Below are 17,131 nucleotides of genomic sequence, written 5' to 3'. Positions count from 1 at the left end.
GGAGAGGTCTGGAGTTCAAGTGTGGTTTCATTGCCAAAAACAACTCCCAGAAAAACACCCAGAAGTTCCCAGGAGTAACTGTCTCTGCAGGTGCAGGGAGAGGAGACTTCCGGCTGTATCTGAGCACTCCGACCACACCCCACATATTTCAGAGCTGGCTTTCCACTGTGCTGGCTGTGAAGGCAAACTGCAAAATGGGCCAGAAGAGTGCATGAGTGCTTTTGCTTCTGAAATTCCTGGGGCTTCAACTTAATTTCAGTCAGGATAGTTAACATTCAACTAACATTAACCTTTTAAATAACTACTTCCGGCCACTTCATTCGTCCAGAGTTTTTTTTTTTTTGAGACAGAGCCTTGCTCTGTCACCCAGGCTAGATTACAATGCAGTGATGTGATCTCGGCTCACTGCAACCTCCACCTCCCGGGTTCAAGTGATTCTCCTGCCTCAGCCTCCTGAGTAGCTGGGATTACAGGCAACCGCCACTACACCCCGCTAATTTTTGTATTTTTTTTAGTAGAGACAAGGATTCACCATGTTGGCCAGGCTGGTCTTGAACTCCTGACCTCTGGTGATCCACCGCCTCAGCCTCCCAAAGTGCTGGGATTACAGGCGTGAGCCACTGCGCCCAGTCAGAGCACTTTTGAGAGTATTTTCTGAGGCTGTTTGGGACAGGATGAAGGCTTGGTAATCAGCCTCCTGGGTACAAATTCCAGTTCTGACCTCAGTTTTTTCATCAGTAAAATGGGGGTCTGAAGACCCGCCAAGTGTCTGGCATGGAGGAGGTATTTGGTAACAGGATGGTACTTTGTGATGGGTTGGGCTATTGGAGGAAGAAATAGGCCCACATGCACAGATACTCACAGCTATAATCCCAGTACTTTGAAAAGGTGAGGTAGGAGGATCACTTGAGCCCAGGAGTTCGAGACCAGCCTGAGCAACACGGGGAGACCCCCACCCCGCTTTCTACAAAAAATTTTAAAAATAGCCAAGCATGGTGGTGCACACCTGTAGTTCCAGTTCCTCCAGAGGCTAAGGCAGGAGGATCACTTAAGTCCAGGAGGTCCAAGCTGTAGTGAGCCATGATTGCACCACCACATTTCAGCCTGGGCGGCAGAGCAAGACCTTGTCTCAAAACAAACAAACAAAAAGAAACAGGCCCAGAGAGGGCTGACCACTTTTCCAAGGTCACACAGCTGGGTAAAGGCAGCCATGAGCCCCAATATCTAGTTGCAGGGTCCCCAAGCAGGGCTAGGAAGGGTTCTCAGGCCACTTATGAGGGTGGAGAGAAATGGAGCCCGAGCCTGAGCCACAGCCAACTGGGACCTTGGCCAAGCAGGGAACAAGCAGGGGAGGCAGGAGGAGAGGCAGGGAGGGATGGAGCCAAATTCCTGCAGCTGCCCTGCCCGGATGGTGCAGCTGGGGACCAGATCTGTGGGCTGAGACCTGATGCCAAGGCCTGCAAGCATCCTCAGGTTTTGCCCTTGAGGTCTGGGGTCACTCTCTACACCCCTTAGCCCTCCCTCCCCATGCTGGTACCCCAGACCTCTCAGTCCCAGGGCTACTACCAAAGGGCAAACCCCTGGGTGAACAGATGCCAGCCCCCTGGATCTGCCCCTTCTGCCTGCTCCTGAACAGCAGCTGGCCGGGGCCAGAGGCTCCTCCTGAGAACAGCAGCTTTTTATCTGTAACCTGCATGGCCGCCCTCCCCAGCCGGGGAGCAAATCCAGCCACTAGTTCCAAATGTTCCAACCTTCAAACCAAAGCCGCTCCCACTCCCACCCCCATCCTGATTGGCTGAAGCCGAGCCTTTCTCTTGGGCTTCCTGTCCCCCGTATAATGAAGGGGAGTAAACAGAGTTACTGGCCTCCTGCAGTCACTCTGTGCCAGAATTTAAGGACAAAACAAAAAACAAACAAACAACAACAACAACAAACAGTAGCTTGAGCCACCACCTGTGGCAGAGGTGATTCAAGCACAGGCGTGGAGCCAGAAAGCTTTAATTCAATTCCTGGGTCAGCCTCTTACCAGCTATGTGAACTTTGGCAGTTACTTTACCTCTCTGTGTCTCTGTTTCCTCATCTCTAAAATGGAGATAATGGGTCGGGCACGGTAACTCACCCCTGTAATCCAAGTACTTTGGGAGGCCAAAGCAGGCGGATCACTTGAGGTCATGAGTTGGAGACCAGCCTGGCCAAAATAGTGAAACCCCATCTCTACTAAAAATACAAAACTTAGCCGGGTGTGGTGGTGGGCACCTGTAATTCCAGCTGCTCTGGAGGCCTAGGCAGGAGAATCGCTTGAATTCAGGAGGAGGTTGCAGTGAGCCAAGATCACGCCACTGCACTCCAGCCTGGGTGACAGAGCAAGACTCCGTCTCAAAAAATATAAAATTAAAAAAATAAAATGGAGATAATAATAGCATCCACGGGGTGGATTTTTTCTGCCAATTAAATGAGTTGATAGATGTCAAGTGCTTGGGGCACTGCCTGGAGGAAGCTTACCCTCCTCCCTCCCATATGCTGCTAGGGAGTCCCGACCACATGCCCTGGGTGTCATCTGTCAACTTTACAGCTAGAGGGGCTCCCAGCCTCTCACCAATGACCATCTGATCACTCCCACGCCTTGCAGCACCAGCTCACACATGTGGCTTCATGCCAGTCCTGAGGTACCCAGACAGGGGCCCAGTCCCTTTTCCTGGCCACAGGGAGCCTCTCCATCCACCTTCTTGCAGTCTCAGAGCTACACAGCCAAAATGTCCAGCCCAGTCACCCTGAAGAGTGTGAAAGTGATTGTCTGAAGGAAGCTTTCTTTTAAAAATATTTTTATACAGTCACAGTGGCTCACACCTGTAATTCCAGCATTTTGGGAGGCCAAGGCGGGTGGATCACTTGAGGTCAGGAGTTCGAGGTCAGCCTGGCCACCATGGCCAAACCCCGTCTCTTCTAAAAATGCAAAAATTAGCCAGGTGTGGTGGCGTGCGCCTGTAATCCCAGCTACTTGGGAGGCTGAGGCATGAGGATCACTTGAATCCAGGAGGTGGAGGTTGCAGTGAGCTGAGATCATGCCACTGCACTCCAGCCTGGGTGATAGAGTAAGACTGTCTCAAAAAATAAAATAAAAAATGTTTTTAGAGATGGGGTCTCGCTCTTTTGCCCAGGCTGGAGTTTAGCGGTGCAATCATAGTTCACTGCAGTCTTTAACTCCTGGGCTCAAGCAATCCTCCCACCTCAGCCTCTGAGTAGCTGGGACTGCAAGTGTGAGCCGGTGCATCCAACTCCTGCGGGAAGCTTTGAAAAGAGCAACTCCTCTCCTCCTGCTGCTCTGGAACCTGCGGGATGCTCGAATGTCCCCTAGGCCTGCTCTGTGGCCTACCACGGCCACTGTCTTCCCTGCCTACACAGTGAACCACTGTGGTCCAAGGAGTCCAGCCCTTCCCATGCCAAGCCACTGGTAAGGCTGCCTGCCCTCAGGCACCAGGGCATCCCAAGCATACTCCAAGGCCTGGCCCAGGCGAGGCTGGAACCTGAACACGCCCTCCTGAATGCTCGGGGCACTGAGGAGGCTCACAGGCCACAGGCTGCAGGCCCTGGGCCCTGCCTGGCAGGCTCCTTGGGGCAGGGTTACAAGACCCACTGGAACAGCTCCCCCCTCAGGCAACAGTCTGTCTTCTGGGCTGTGGAAGCTTCGGGATTTCACTGAGATGATGGGTGTGCAGCACTTTCCTCTTGGGGACTGGGGGGGTCGTTCCTGGACCATGCCTCCCAAAAGGGGTCAGCTCTCCTTCACCAGAAACAGAACTGCCAGTCAGCCCCTCAAACCCAAGGTGCATAAGACCCCTCCCCATGGAGCCTCTGCTAAGCATCTCAGTCAGGCAAACGCTCCTTTGAGGGGCAGCCAGGCCTCCAACCTGGGAGCTTAGCACCCAGGACACCAACTCGACCCATCTACCCACTTGCTTAGTGAACCTAGGCAGTCCAGTCCTCTCTCTGGGCCTCAGTTTCCCTGTCTATTAGGTGTTGAGTTAGGTGGTGCCCAAGGCTTCCTGAGCTATCACAGGCTCTGATTCCTAAAAGTCACCATCCCTGTTCAAAAGCCTGCAGTGGCTCCCTAGTGCCCTGGGAGTCAACTCCCACTCCTTCATCCAGCAGACAAGGCCTCTGCCAAGGTCACCAGCGCCCCTGTCCACTCAACCCCTGGGAGGGTCATCTGTAGCCTCTGGTCCTGCCTATGCCTGGGTCATTCCCAGCAGCCTGGGATGGGGTAGAAGGTCCCTTATGCCCACCCAGCCCCTCAATGACCTCAGCACAGCTTTCCTCTCATTGCTTTTATTGATTCCCAAGGGCAACCCTGCTCCCATGGGGAGGCCAAGTGGGCTCACATCTTGTAGCCTCCAAAGATGGGGTCGTTCCCATACTCAGGGGAAGCCAGGGAGGCCTCGAGCTTAGGCTGGGCGCTGAGGCGTGCCACGTAGGCTGAGAGCAGGAGGAGGGCACCCAGATAGCCGGGCACCAGTGTCCCTGGTAGAGGGTTGTGACTGCAAGTTGTCCAGGTTCATGGTGTTTTGAACCAAGAATTGGACAAAACACCCAGCAAAGCAAAGAAAGAATGAAGCAACAAAAGAATGAAAGCAGTTTTTTGTTTTTTGTTTTTTTTGAGACGGAGTCTTGCTCTGTCACCCAGGCTGGAGTGCAGTGGTGTGATCTCTGCTAACTGCAACCTCTGCCTCCCAAGTTCAAGTGATTCTTGTGCTTCAGCCTCCCAAGTAGCTGGGATCATAGGCGTGTGCCACCACACTCAGCTAATTTTTTTTTTTTTTTTTTTTTTTTGTATTTTCAGTAGAGACAGGGTTTCACCATGTTGGCCAGGCTGGTCTTGAACTCCTGACCTCAGGTGATCCACCCACCTCGGCCTCCCAGAGTGCTGGGATTACAGGTGTGAGCCACCACACCCGGCCTAAAAGCAGGGATTTATCGAAAACGAAAGTACACTCCACAGTGTGGGAGTGGGCCCAGCAGCAGCTCAAGGGCCTGGATACAGAATCTTCTTGGGTCCAAATACCCCCTAGAAGTTTCCCATTGGTCACTTCATGCTCACCTCATGTAAATGAAGTGGTAGCCTGCAATCTGATTGGTTGCGGAAAACAGCCAATCAGAGGCTGAAGTGAACTTACAAAGGTCACACTCCTGTGCCAACATCTGATTGGATCAGATGTTTGCTAGGGTGAAGTTACAAAGTTATGCTTCTATGCAAACGAAGACTCCACCCACAATCAGTCTGATTGTTTGTGGACAGCAACCATTCATAGGCTGGAGTGAAATTACCAAGTTGCAAACGAAGACTCCACCCACAACTAGTCTGATTTGTTGGGGACAGCCAATTTCGCATCTGCTGTGCAGAAAAGGTCAAATGGAGTAGCCTCTGGTCCTTTTGTTACTTAGGTGTGGAAAGTTAGGGTTTTCCTTTCAATTTAGTTCTAGGAAGTTGGCATGAAACAGCCTTAGGTTCCCTGCCTCCACACCCTATTCTCCTGCCTCACCAGGACCTGGTGGGCCAGCAGCAAGTCCAGCAGGTTGTGGTCGGTGAAGGAGACCTGCAGGGCAGGGAGTGTGAGGGAGCTTGAGCTGGGTCAGGAGAGAGCAGCTTCAGGAGCCAGAACCCTGGCTGTCTCTGCTGCAGTGAACTGGCCCACCCTGGGCCTCAGTTTGCCCTTCTAAGAAATGGACCTACAATGATCTGGGAGAGGCTGGAGCCAGCGCTCACCTTGTTGCCCACAATGAAGGCCTGTCATCCCTGGTTCTGGGTCAGAGGGTCTCAAAAGGCTCCAGGTGCCTGGCAGCTCCTGAACACACTGGGCTTTGCCCACCTCCTGTGAACAGGACTGATTCCAGTTGGAGGTGTGTGGTGAGACTGACCAGGGTGACCTCCTGTCCCTGACCACATTGTCCCAGAGCACCAGCCGGCACCCAGGCTCACTCAGAGCCCTGGTGGATAAGGCAGCTGCAGCGCCTGCCCACGATGGTCCTCCGCCCCGTCATTCACTGTGTCCACCAGTGGTCTTTGCTGCCTAAAAATACAAAAAAATTAGCCGGGCGTAGTGGCAGGCTCCTGTAGTCCCAGCTACTCGGGAGGCTGAGGCAAGAGAATGGTGTGAACCCAGGAGGTGGAGCTTGCAGTGAGCCGAGATTGCACCACTGCACTCCAGCCTGGGCAACAGAGCAGACTCCGTCTCAAAAAAAAAAAAAAAAAAAAAACAGGTTTAGATGAACAAGGGTTTTATTACTTGGTATAAGTAAGGAGAACACTGAGAGGATTCTGGAAAGCAGCATCTCCCCACAGGAAAGTGACAGGAGGGTTTTATGGGGTGATGGAGAGGGGAGAGGGGGCATGATGGCATGCAGAGGAGAGGTCCCAGTTGCGCAGACGCAGTGAGTCATTAATCCAGTGTTCCCAGAAAAAGCGATCCAGATCCAGATCCCAAGAGAGGGTTCTTGGACCTCGTGCAGAGAGGAATTCAAGGCGAGTCACAGGGTGCAGTGAGAAGAGAGAGCTTATTGAAAGCCACTCCATTACAGAGTAGGGCGTCCTCAGAAAGCAAGAGGAGGGATGCACCATATTTGTTTTAAGTTCTTCTTATACAGGATTCTTATCTATGCAAAGACTAAACTAAGTTGTGCCTATGTGTGAGTGGGCTGACAGCATGACAAAATTTATTATTTTATTGATTTAAAGAAAACTATCCTGGACATTTTAGTGTGTGAGTGCATCAAAGCATAACTGTAATTATCTTGAAAGCATATGTTGTTACGGGTATTGGGACGTCGAACTTTCTGTGGCTGCAGGAATGTGTCCTTGCAGGCAGTACCAAGCCGATTCCTTAGCTGTAAGCATCTTAGAACCGTGGGTCGTGACTAGTGTGGAAAGTGCCTTGCTAGGTTTTTTTTGTTTTGTTTTGTTTGTTTTTTGTTTGTTTGTTTGTTTTGTTTTTTTTAGATGGAGTCTTGCTCTGTCACCCAGGCTGGAGTGCAGTGGTGCAATCTCGGCTCACTGCAAGCTCCACCTCCTGGGTTCACGCCATTCTCCTGCCTCAGCCTGCCGAGTAGCTGGGACTACAGGCACCCACCACCACACCCAGCTTATTTTGTTTTTGTATTTTTAGTAGAGATGGGGTTTCACCGTGTTAGCCAGGATGGTCTCAATCTCCTGACCTTGTGATCCGCCTGCCTCGGCCTCTCAAAGTGCTGGGATTACAGGCGCGAGCCACCACACCTGGCCATTTTTACATTTTTAAAGGTTTCTTTTAATTCCCTTTGACCAAGAGAGGGGTCCATTCTGTTGAGAGGTTTAGGGTTTTATTTATTTCTTTAGTGGATATATCCCCTTTTTTGTCAAGGTATGCCAGAGGCAGTATCAATAGCCAAGCTTTTATTATTTATTATTTATTTATTTTTAAGACAGAGTCATGCTCTGTCACCAAGGCTGGAGTGCAATGGTGCGATCTTGGCTCACTGCAACCTCCACCTCCCGGGTTCAAGCAATTCTCCTGCCTCAGCCTTCCTAGTAGCTGGGATTACAGGTGCACGCCACCATGTCTGGCCAATTTTTGTATTTTTAGTGCAGACATGGTTTCACCATGTTGGCCAGGCTGATCTTGAACTCCTGACCTCAGGTGATCTGCCTGCCTCGGCCTCCCAAAGTGCTGGGATTACAGGTGTGAGCTACCACACCCGGCCTGGCCTAGCTTTTATTTTGTCCCATATTGATGCCAGGGTGGTGTGCTACCTGTCCTGGGTCCATTATGTCCCTTGGTGGGACTTTATGGCCAAGGGACTTAGAGTCAAAAGTTGTATAGTCAATTAAACATTCTAGGTCAGGTGGGAATGGAGGTAGGCAGGCATTCATCAGCTTTAGGACCCCCTTTAAGCAACATAAGAGCCAAAACTCAAAAGCCAAAATGCAAGGTTATAAAATTAACTTATCTATAAATTCTATGCATTGAGCCATTGTAATCTTGGCTTGTAGCAATTAGTTATACAAAACACAAGCGTTTTATTAGCTGCTTAGGCATCTGTGTGCCCATCTTTACAGGTGGTACACACCTGTAATCCCAGCTACTCAGGAGGCTGAGGCAGGAGAATCACTTGAACACAGGAGGCAGAGGTTGCAGTGAGCCAAGATTGTGCCATTGCACTCCAGCCTGGGCAACAAAAGCGAAACTCCATCACCAGGATAAAAAAAAAAACAAAAGAAAAATAACAGGTTTAATCTTGGACAGGTGTACCCAGCTAGTGATTCCCTGAAGTTTAATCTTTGATTAACTTCAGTGAGCCAAGAACTAGTTCCTGATTAGCTTCACGTTGCAGTGAGATGAGATTATGCCATTGCACTCCAGCCTGGGCAACAAAAGCAAAACTCCAGAAAAACAAACAAACAAACAACAAAAAAATCAAGTTTAATCTTGGACAGGTATACCCAGCTAGTGATTCCCTGAAGGTTCCATCTTTGATTTGGAGGGTCTGAGCTAATTTTATCCCTCAAAATCAGCTCTTACAATCTCATATGATAGTCTCTGGGCCTGGAGGGATTGAATCATTTCAAATTCTGGAGGTAAAACAAAATATAAGTAATTAGCAACATTTTAAACAAAAGGTCATAAGCCATACCTAGTTGTTTTTTGTTTTTTAATGAGATGGGGGTCTCACAGTATTGACCAGGCTGGTCTCGAACTCCTGGCCTCAAGTGATCTTCCCATCTCGGCCTCCCAAAGTGCTGGGATTACAGGCGTGAGCCACCACACCCAGCCAGCTCTACCTAGTTTTGAGCAGGGCAGGAAAGGAAGTTCACAAGTAGCCAAACATTTAAATTATTTAGCATCAAGGCATAGAATAAATTAGATTATTTCAGATAGAGGAAAAATTATTAAATGGATCTTAATGTTTTTGAATACAGGCCTGTTCCTGTGTCTCATGAGAACAGTTTACTTTGTCACTTTTGCCCAGTTCTAAAGACAAGGCTTTGGTTAACTTGAGTTTGGCATCAGATACTGGCAGGAGTTGATGCCTTTTTCAGATGAGATGTGGATACCCAGAAGTCAAAGCCCTGTAATTTAACAGTACGAGGATTAGTCAATAGCACCTGATAAGGACCTTCTCCAAGGGGCTGAAGGTGGTGATACTGGTCTTCATGGTCTAACTAGAAGGTGTAAAAAAAATTCTACAACCTTGCAGCAATTAACTTTTATAGCTTTAGTAAGCCCCAGCAATAAAACTAAGTTAGAGACTTAACAGGATTTTGATTTTGAGGATGTTTGTTAAAGATGTTAAAAGATTAAAACATTTGATCAAAACAGAAGCACAGGTCATTGCAAAATAGTTACTCATTTAACCAAAGTGATAATTAAAAACCATGTAACTGGCTGGGCATGGTGGCTCATGCCTATAATCCCAGCACTTTGGGAGGCCAAGGTGGGCAGATCACCTGAGGTCAGGAGTTTGAGACCAGCCTGACCAACATGGAGAAACCCTGTCTCTACTAAAAATACAAAAAATTAGCCAGGCATGGTGGTGCATGCCTGTAATCCCAGCTACTTGGGAAGCTGAGGCAGGAGAATTGCTGGAACCTGGGAGGCAGAGGTCGTGGTGAGCCGAGATCGCACCCTTGCACTCCAGCCTGGGCAACAAGAGCAAAACTCTGTCTAAAAAAAAAAAAAAAAAAAAAAAACTACCATGTAACCACTCCATTACAGAGTGGATAAAACCTAAAACCTTTTAAATCTTAGGGGTTTTTTTAGCAATCCAAAACCTAATAAAGACAGCATAGCAATTATAAAATCTTGGGTTTTTTTTGTTTTTTTTTTGTTTGTTTTTTTTGAGATGGAGTCTCACTCTGTTACCCAGGCTACAGTGCGGTGGTGCAATCTCAGCTCACTGCAACTTCTGCCTCCCAAGTTCAAGTGATTCTTCTGCCTCAGCCTCCCAAGTAGCTGGAACTACAGGTATGCACCACAATGCCCAACTAATTTTTTGTATTTTTAGTAGAGACAGGGGTTCACCATATTGGCTAGGCTGGCCTCAAACCCCTGACCTCATGATCCACCCATCTCAGCCTCCCAAAGTGCTGGGTTACAGGTGTGAGCCACCGTGCCCAGCCAAAATCTTGTTTCTTAAGCCAGCTACAAAAAAGCAAAGAAAACCCTTCTGCAGTGACTGCTTCTCCTTCTGGGAAGCCCATTTACATAACTTGGAATTCAAACTCAATGAAAAAAGTGTTTGAATTTAACCAAACACAAGAAGAGTGTGTTCAAAGCTATGCATATAGCAAGGGAATACCTGACTCTTAGAAACAGTGTGAGAAGTTTTCTGATTACATTAGAAACTTAGATATATCAAGAAAAGCCAAGAGTACAGAATCAAGTTATCCTTCTCAAGGAGAGAAAAACAAGACATAGCAAAAGTTGAACTTCTGAGATATGATTCTGAGAAGTTTTCAAAAGAAATAGATTATAAAATACAAGTAAAATATCTTGCAATTTTATTAAGAGCTAAGCAATAGTTTTTTTAAAAAAAAAAACCTTGTTGTAACGTAGGGGACCAATCTTGGACTATTATAAATGATTTCCTTTTAATTATAATCGACTTAGTGACATCCAAAATACTTTCATAAATTCCCCTTCCCAAAGCTTATCATGACTTACACAGACCATCTACAACATGCTTCGACTTTCTGCCTTGTCCTAAACCTCCTAAATAATCAGTCATTTTACTTTAGGACAAAAATTTACCACACAAGATCCTTTTTCATACAAAATTATTCTCTTTTCTTTATAACCTTCCTTACCAAAAATACGTCTGCATGTCCATAACTTTCTTCACACCTCTCTCTCCCCTACTTACTGTTCCTTTCTACCTTGTTTAACAAGTAATTTTCAAGGCCATAATTGACTTTTAGATAACTTCTGAATTGGAAAAAATTACTCTTTTCTCAATAAGACTAGTTCCTGGGAGGCTTTTGCCCTCCAATGCCACCCAGAGATATGCCAAATTAAACAACCCAAAGAACGAAAATCATCAAGACCAGAAGGGAAATGCTAGGTGTAAGCTTCAGGGCATGGAAGTGCAGGGCAACATGTGTCACTAGTGAGGCACAGACAGCAAACATGTGGCCAAAAAAGGGGACAAGGGGGATGGAGAATCAGTAGGTGCTGGCACACATCCCTCTGAGCCTCGGTTTATCTGACAGGGCAACATGGCAGCCCTGGACCCATAAAAGCCAAAAAGCCCCATGCAACAGGGTGGCACCCAAGCCAGAGGACCCCACAACTCCAGGCTCCCTGGCAGGCATAGCCCACAGGATCCAACAGCTCTGAGTGGGGGCCTGTAACCCCCAGTCCCAAGGGAATATAAAGGAACATGAGCATCCCTGTGTACCCTGGGGCTCAGCAGACTGAGCATGAAAAAAGACAACAAAGGAAAGGGAAGGGACAACAAAGACACTCACCCATACATGACTCCGAGAACTTAGGAAGCAAGAAACCCTGAACTGTTTGTCATATGTTAGCATTTTACAGAGAAAACCATTCTACAACTGTGAAACATATTTTCCCATATCATAAACTTTTCTTAACTGAGAATGACCCAGACATCTGACAAGCCATCCAAAGAAAGCTGTGAACCAACGTTTTGGGTAAAGAAGACTTCATGGAAGTTTGGTTTTCAAAAAGCCCCTTTCGCCTTTTTTTTTTCTTCAGATTCAAAGGCATTTCTCATGTTTACATTTTAGCCAGAACAAAATCTCCACGTAACCTTGAACAGCAAGTTTTATCTCAACACCAGTAGCCTAATAATAGCAGATTCAAAGCAAGCAGAAAATAAAAGAGAGAAATAGCTTTGGAAGTGGTAATCAGAGGTGAGTGAACCTGTGGGCCAGCCATACAGGGCTGCCATAAGGCCACAGTAAAGTAAAGGTGACAACTGGGAAATGACAAGAACTGTAGCTTTCCCACACCCAGCAAAGGGGACAAGGTAGATTAGTTCACAGCACACACTGGCAAATGTCTTGCAGGGCTCCTTCTATTTTTATTATGCCCCAGGAACTCTAACCCCTTAAGCAGGGACTCCCACCCCATGGGCCAGAACTCTAACCCAAATATTAGCCTTGCCTAATATGACACCAAGACAGATCCCACTTTCCAGAGGTGGCCAATTAGTGCTGCACAGACTGAATTTCCTTGGCATAGGGTCTTGTCTGTTCTCACACTGCTAATAAAGACATACCTGAGACTGGGTAATTAATAAAGGAAAGAGGTTTAATTGACTCACAGTTCTGCATGGCTTGAGAGGCCTCAGGAGACCTACAATCATGGTGGAAGGGGAGGCAAACATGTCCTTCTTCACGTGGTGGCAGCAAGGAGAAGTGCCAAGCAAAAAGGGGAAAAGTCCCTTATAAAACCATCAGACTTGTGAGAACTCACTCACAATCATGAGAACAACATGAAGATAACTGCCCCCATGATTCAATTACCTCCCACCGGGAACCTCCCATGACATATGGGGATTATAGGAACTACAATTCAAGATGAGATTTGGGTAGGGACACAGCCAAACCATATCAGTCCCTTAGTGGTGGTCACCAGAAGATGCTACCAGAAAAAGGGGTCCCAATCCAGATCCCAAGAGAGGGTTCTTGGATCTCACACAGGAAGGAATTCAAGATGAGTCAAAGAGTGCAGTGAGAAGAGAGAGTTTATTGAAAGCTACTCCATTACAGGGTAGGGTGTCCTCAGAAAGCAACAGGAAGAGTGCACCGTCTTTGTTTTAAGTTTTATATATATATATATATATATATATATATATATATATGTCTTGTCTATGCAAAGACTAAACTAAGCTGTCCCTACGTGCAGATGGGCTGACAGAATGACAAAAATTATTATTTTCTTGATTTAAAGAAAACTATCCTTGACATTTTATTAAAGTGTTATTTTATCAAAGCACGTTTATCCCAAAGTGCTGGGATTATAGGTGTGAGCCACTGTGCTCAGCCAATGTCTTGATAGTCTTGATTTCACTTTGGAAGGCTAAGGCAGGAGAATTGCTTGAGCCCAGAAGTTGGAGACCAGCCTGGGCAACACAGTGAGACCCCGTCTGTATTTAAAAACAAAAACGGCCAGCACAGTCGCTCATGCCAGTAATCCCAGCACTTTGGGAGGCCAAGGCAGGCAGATCACTTCAGGTCAAGAGTTCGAGACCAGCCTTGCCATGGTGAAACCCCATCTCTACTAAAAATACAAAAATTAGTCAGGCATGGTGGCGGGCACCTGTAATCCCAGCTACTCGGGAGGCTGAGGCAGAAGAATCTCTTGAACCTGGGAGGCAGAGGTTGCAGTGAGCCAAGATCATGCCACTGCACTCCAGCCTGGGCAACAGAGCAAGACTCCGTCTCTAAATAAATAAATAAAATACCAAAATGGACATGATTTAAAAATGGTGTCACCCTGGCTTTCCTAGGCTCCCTAACATCAGCACATGGGCCGCATGTTATGGTCATGAAGCTATAGCTCCTGGGCTGGAGACTTTAGCATGGTAATGAAGAAAGTTCACTTTCTGTAAGTTGCTGGGGTCTGTCAGAAGCTGTTTCCTACCAACAACACCTTGTGGTCACCACCACTTTCCACACAGGGTTTGGGGAAAAACAGGCTGCAGGACAGCAGGCTATAAAACAGGCAATTATGTAAGTTGATAAAATTCCTATAATTCCTATAATCCCTGGAGACCCTCCTTGTCTGCTTTCAGAACCTGCAAATAAACCTCCCTCCATTAGTTTCTTGCCATAGATTTACCTTCCCACAGTAGTCGCTCTTGTAAGCCTAAAGCTGCTTTTTTTTTCCTGTCATTTCTCTAAAATGTATTGCTCTTTGTTGAAGACACCATGTGAGTGAAATCTCATCACTGCTTGGAGTTACTTTTCATTGAGGTTTCTCCTGCGTGATTGTAGGTTTTTCTTTTGTTCTACTGTTACAGGGGTCCATTCCAACTAACAACTCATGAATGTTGAGGAAAAGATTATTTTTTCTCCCCCACATAGTCTGCAAACCATTTCTTGACTGAGTATGAAGGCAAATGCAGCCTTCAAATGCGGCTGGCCAGGGGCTGGGATGGGCAGAGCTTCCTGGACCCCAGAGGGCTGCGTCTCACCAGGCCGAGCCCAGTGCTGCCTCCTTGCAAGCTCACCTGGCCCCCAGTCCGGGTCTCCTCCTGGCTGCCCCTCCCCCGGAAGGCTCAGAGCCATAAGGAGGGAGGAAGGTGTCCTTCCCAGGTGCAGAACCGCCCACCCAAAGCCTGGGCAAAAATTAAAAACATCGCACTGATCAGGGGCACCCCCTGCACCGAGCGCTCAGGGTTGGATGCGCTTCCCCTCCTCCTCATTTGAGCTCACAGCTGCCTAGGCCTAGGGGGAGGAGGAGGAGGTGGCACCAGGATTGGGATCTCATCCCTGACTCACAGCTGGAGGAACATCTGCCCAGCATGTAGCAGCTTACAAAGAGCTTTCATAGAAATGATCTCATTTCATCTCCACGCAATCTGGGAGGGAGGGAGTCCTGTTCCCATTATACAGATGAGGACACCAAGGCTCAGAGGAACCTGCTCTGGCCTGGAGCACCCGCTCCTGCTTTGTGCAGAAGCATCACAGATCTGAGAGGGTGAGAGGACCCCTTGTTGTCCAGCAGACTGCCTGTCTCCCGCCACCGGACGGGCTGAACCTCCAGATGACTTGCCGCCACGGTGCTGTGGTGTTCCGGTTGGCTGCTTTTACCCACAGCCCTCTGGCTCCATGGGCCTTCCCTGTGGTCTAGCTCCGTGGCTACCCTGGGGCCACGGCTCCCAGCAGCACAGCTTTTCCCGGCCCATCCCCCACCTCCATTGCATGTGCACATCACGCCTTTTTGGTGGGTTTTAAAGTGTACATAAACAGTTTGTTTTGTTTTGAGACCAGGTCTTGCACTGTCACCCAAGCTGGGGTTCAGTGGCATGATCTTGGCTCACTGCAGCCTTGATCTCCTGGGCTCAAGCGATCCTCCCACCTCAGCCACCCGAGTAGCTGGGGCTACAGGCACATGCTACCATGCCCAGCTAATTTTTGTATTTTTAGTAGAGACGGGGTTTCGCCAGCCATGTTGCCCACGATGGTCTTGAACTCCTGAGCTCAAACCATCCGCCCACCCTGGCCTTCCAAAGTGCTGGGATTACAGCCGTAAACCACTGCGTCCAGCCTAAACAGCTTTATTGTTACATAAGATTCACCCTTGCAAAGCCTGCATTCTGTGGTTTTTCATATATTCGGTGTTGCGCAATCATTACCCTATCTAATTCCAGAACATGTTCATCATGCCGAAAGGACACCCCATGCCCATTAGCAGTCACTCCTCTTTCTTCCTCCCCCCAGCGCATGGCAACCACTAATCTACTTTCTGTCACTATGGATTTGCCTATGCTGGACATTTCACATAAGTGGAATCATACAGTATTTGTCCTTTTGTATCTGTCACTTAGCATAATATTTTCAAGGTTCATCTATGCTGTAGAATGTGTTAGCACTTCATTTCTTTTTATGGCCAAGTAATATTCCATTGTAGTAATAGACCACCCTTGTTTACTCATTCATAGTTTGTTTTTTGGTTTTTGTTTTGTTTTGTTTTTTGTTTTTGAAACAGAGTCTCACTCTGTCTCCTAGGCTGGAGTGTAGTGGCGCGATCTCGGCTCACTGCAACCTCCGCCTCCTGGGTTCAAGCTATTCTCCTGCCTCAGCCTCCCAAGTAGCTGGGACTACAGGTGCATGCCACCATGCCCGGCTAATTTTTGTATTTTTAGTAGAGATGGGGTTTCACGATATTGGTCAGGCTGGTCTGGAACCCCTGACCTCAGGCTATCCACCCTCCGTCTCCCAAAGTGCTGGGATTACAGACGTGAGCCACCATGCCCAGACTTTACTCATTCATAGTTGATGGACATTTAGGTTGTTTCACTTTTTGGTCTACTATGAATAATGCTTTTAGGAACATTTATGTAGAAGTTTTTGTGCGGACTTATAGGAGTTTCTTTGTTTTGTTTTGTTTTTTTAGGGACAGTGTCTTGCTCTATCACTCAGGCTGGAGTACAGCTCCTGAGTAGCTGGGACTATAAGCAATCATCACTGTGCCCGGCTAATTTTTATATTTATTGTAAAGACGGGGTCTCACTTTATTGCCCAAGCTGGCATTGAACTCCTGGCCTCAAGTGATCCTCCTGCCTTGGCCTCCCAAAGTGCTGGGATCACAGGCAAGAGCCAAACTTATGTTTGCCTGGCCCCAAACTTATGTTTTTGGTTCCCTTGACTATATACCTGGGAGTGGAATTGCTGAGTCATGTGATAACCCATTTTGAGGAATTGCCAAATTCCTTTCCAAAGTGGCTGCACCATTTTACAATCCCATCAGCAGAGTCTGAGGGTTCCAATTTCTCCACATCCTTACCCACAGTGGTCAGTGTCCGTCTTTTTTACCTTATCCTGGTGGTTACGAAGTAGATTCTCAACATGGTTCTATTTGGGGTGCTTACCAGGTACCAAGTTCTAGATTCAACTTGTGGGGAAAACAGGGGAGAGGGAGCCATCGTCTTTGCCATTAGAGGAATCACAGTAAAGTGTGGAGGGAGATAGACAGACACAAGTCTTCATTCATGCATTGATTAGTATGTACCAGGCAATGAATGGGCTAGACACCATGGGAGACACCAAAATAGGCAGGATATAGTCTGTACCCTAACGAAGTCTTTCAATGAAGAATATAGGACCTTTGTTGGGAGCCATGGCTCATGCCTGTAATCTCAACACTTTGGGAGGCCAAGGCAGGAGGATTGCTTGAGGCCAGGAATTCAAGACTAGCCTGGGAAGCATAACAAGATGTCATCTCTGCAATAAATAAATAAAATGGCTGGGCATGGTGCCACATGCCTATAGTGCCAGCTACTCAGAAGTCTGAGAGAAAGATTGCTTGAGCCCAGGAGGTCAAGGCTGTAGTAAGCCATGAGCCACGATTGTACCACTGCACTCCAGCCTGGGTGACAGAGTGAGATCCTGTCTCAAAACACACATACACAC

The 17,131-nt window shown here is 47.7% G+C and overlaps 2 annotated features.

Moving 5' to 3' along the window:
- Positions 13,764 to 14,541: an enhancer, noted in NCBI's record as "H3K4me1 hESC enhancer chr11:67297896-67298673 (GRCh37/hg19 assembly coordinates)". NCBI's record gives its function as "activates a minimal SCP1, AML or CMV promoter by ChIP-STARR-seq in primed H9 embryonic stem cells {active_cell/tissue: H9 hESC(primed)}" and the evidence as "EXISTENCE:reporter gene assay evidence [ECO:0000049][PMID:30033119]".
- Positions 14,542 to 15,320: an enhancer, noted in NCBI's record as "H3K4me1 hESC enhancer chr11:67297117-67297895 (GRCh37/hg19 assembly coordinates)". NCBI's record gives its function as "activates a minimal SCP1, AML or CMV promoter by ChIP-STARR-seq in primed H9 embryonic stem cells {active_cell/tissue: H9 hESC(primed)}" and the evidence as "EXISTENCE:reporter gene assay evidence [ECO:0000049][PMID:30033119]".

The sequence above is a fragment of the Homo sapiens genome, chromosome 11 (assembly GCF_000001405.40).
Source record: "Homo sapiens chromosome 11, GRCh38.p14 Primary Assembly".
NCBI classification, from domain to species: domain Eukaryota; kingdom Metazoa; phylum Chordata; class Mammalia; order Primates; family Hominidae; genus Homo; species Homo sapiens.
The sequence above is the reverse complement of the archived record's forward strand: the minus strand, read 5'-3'. Positions and strand labels throughout refer to the sequence as shown.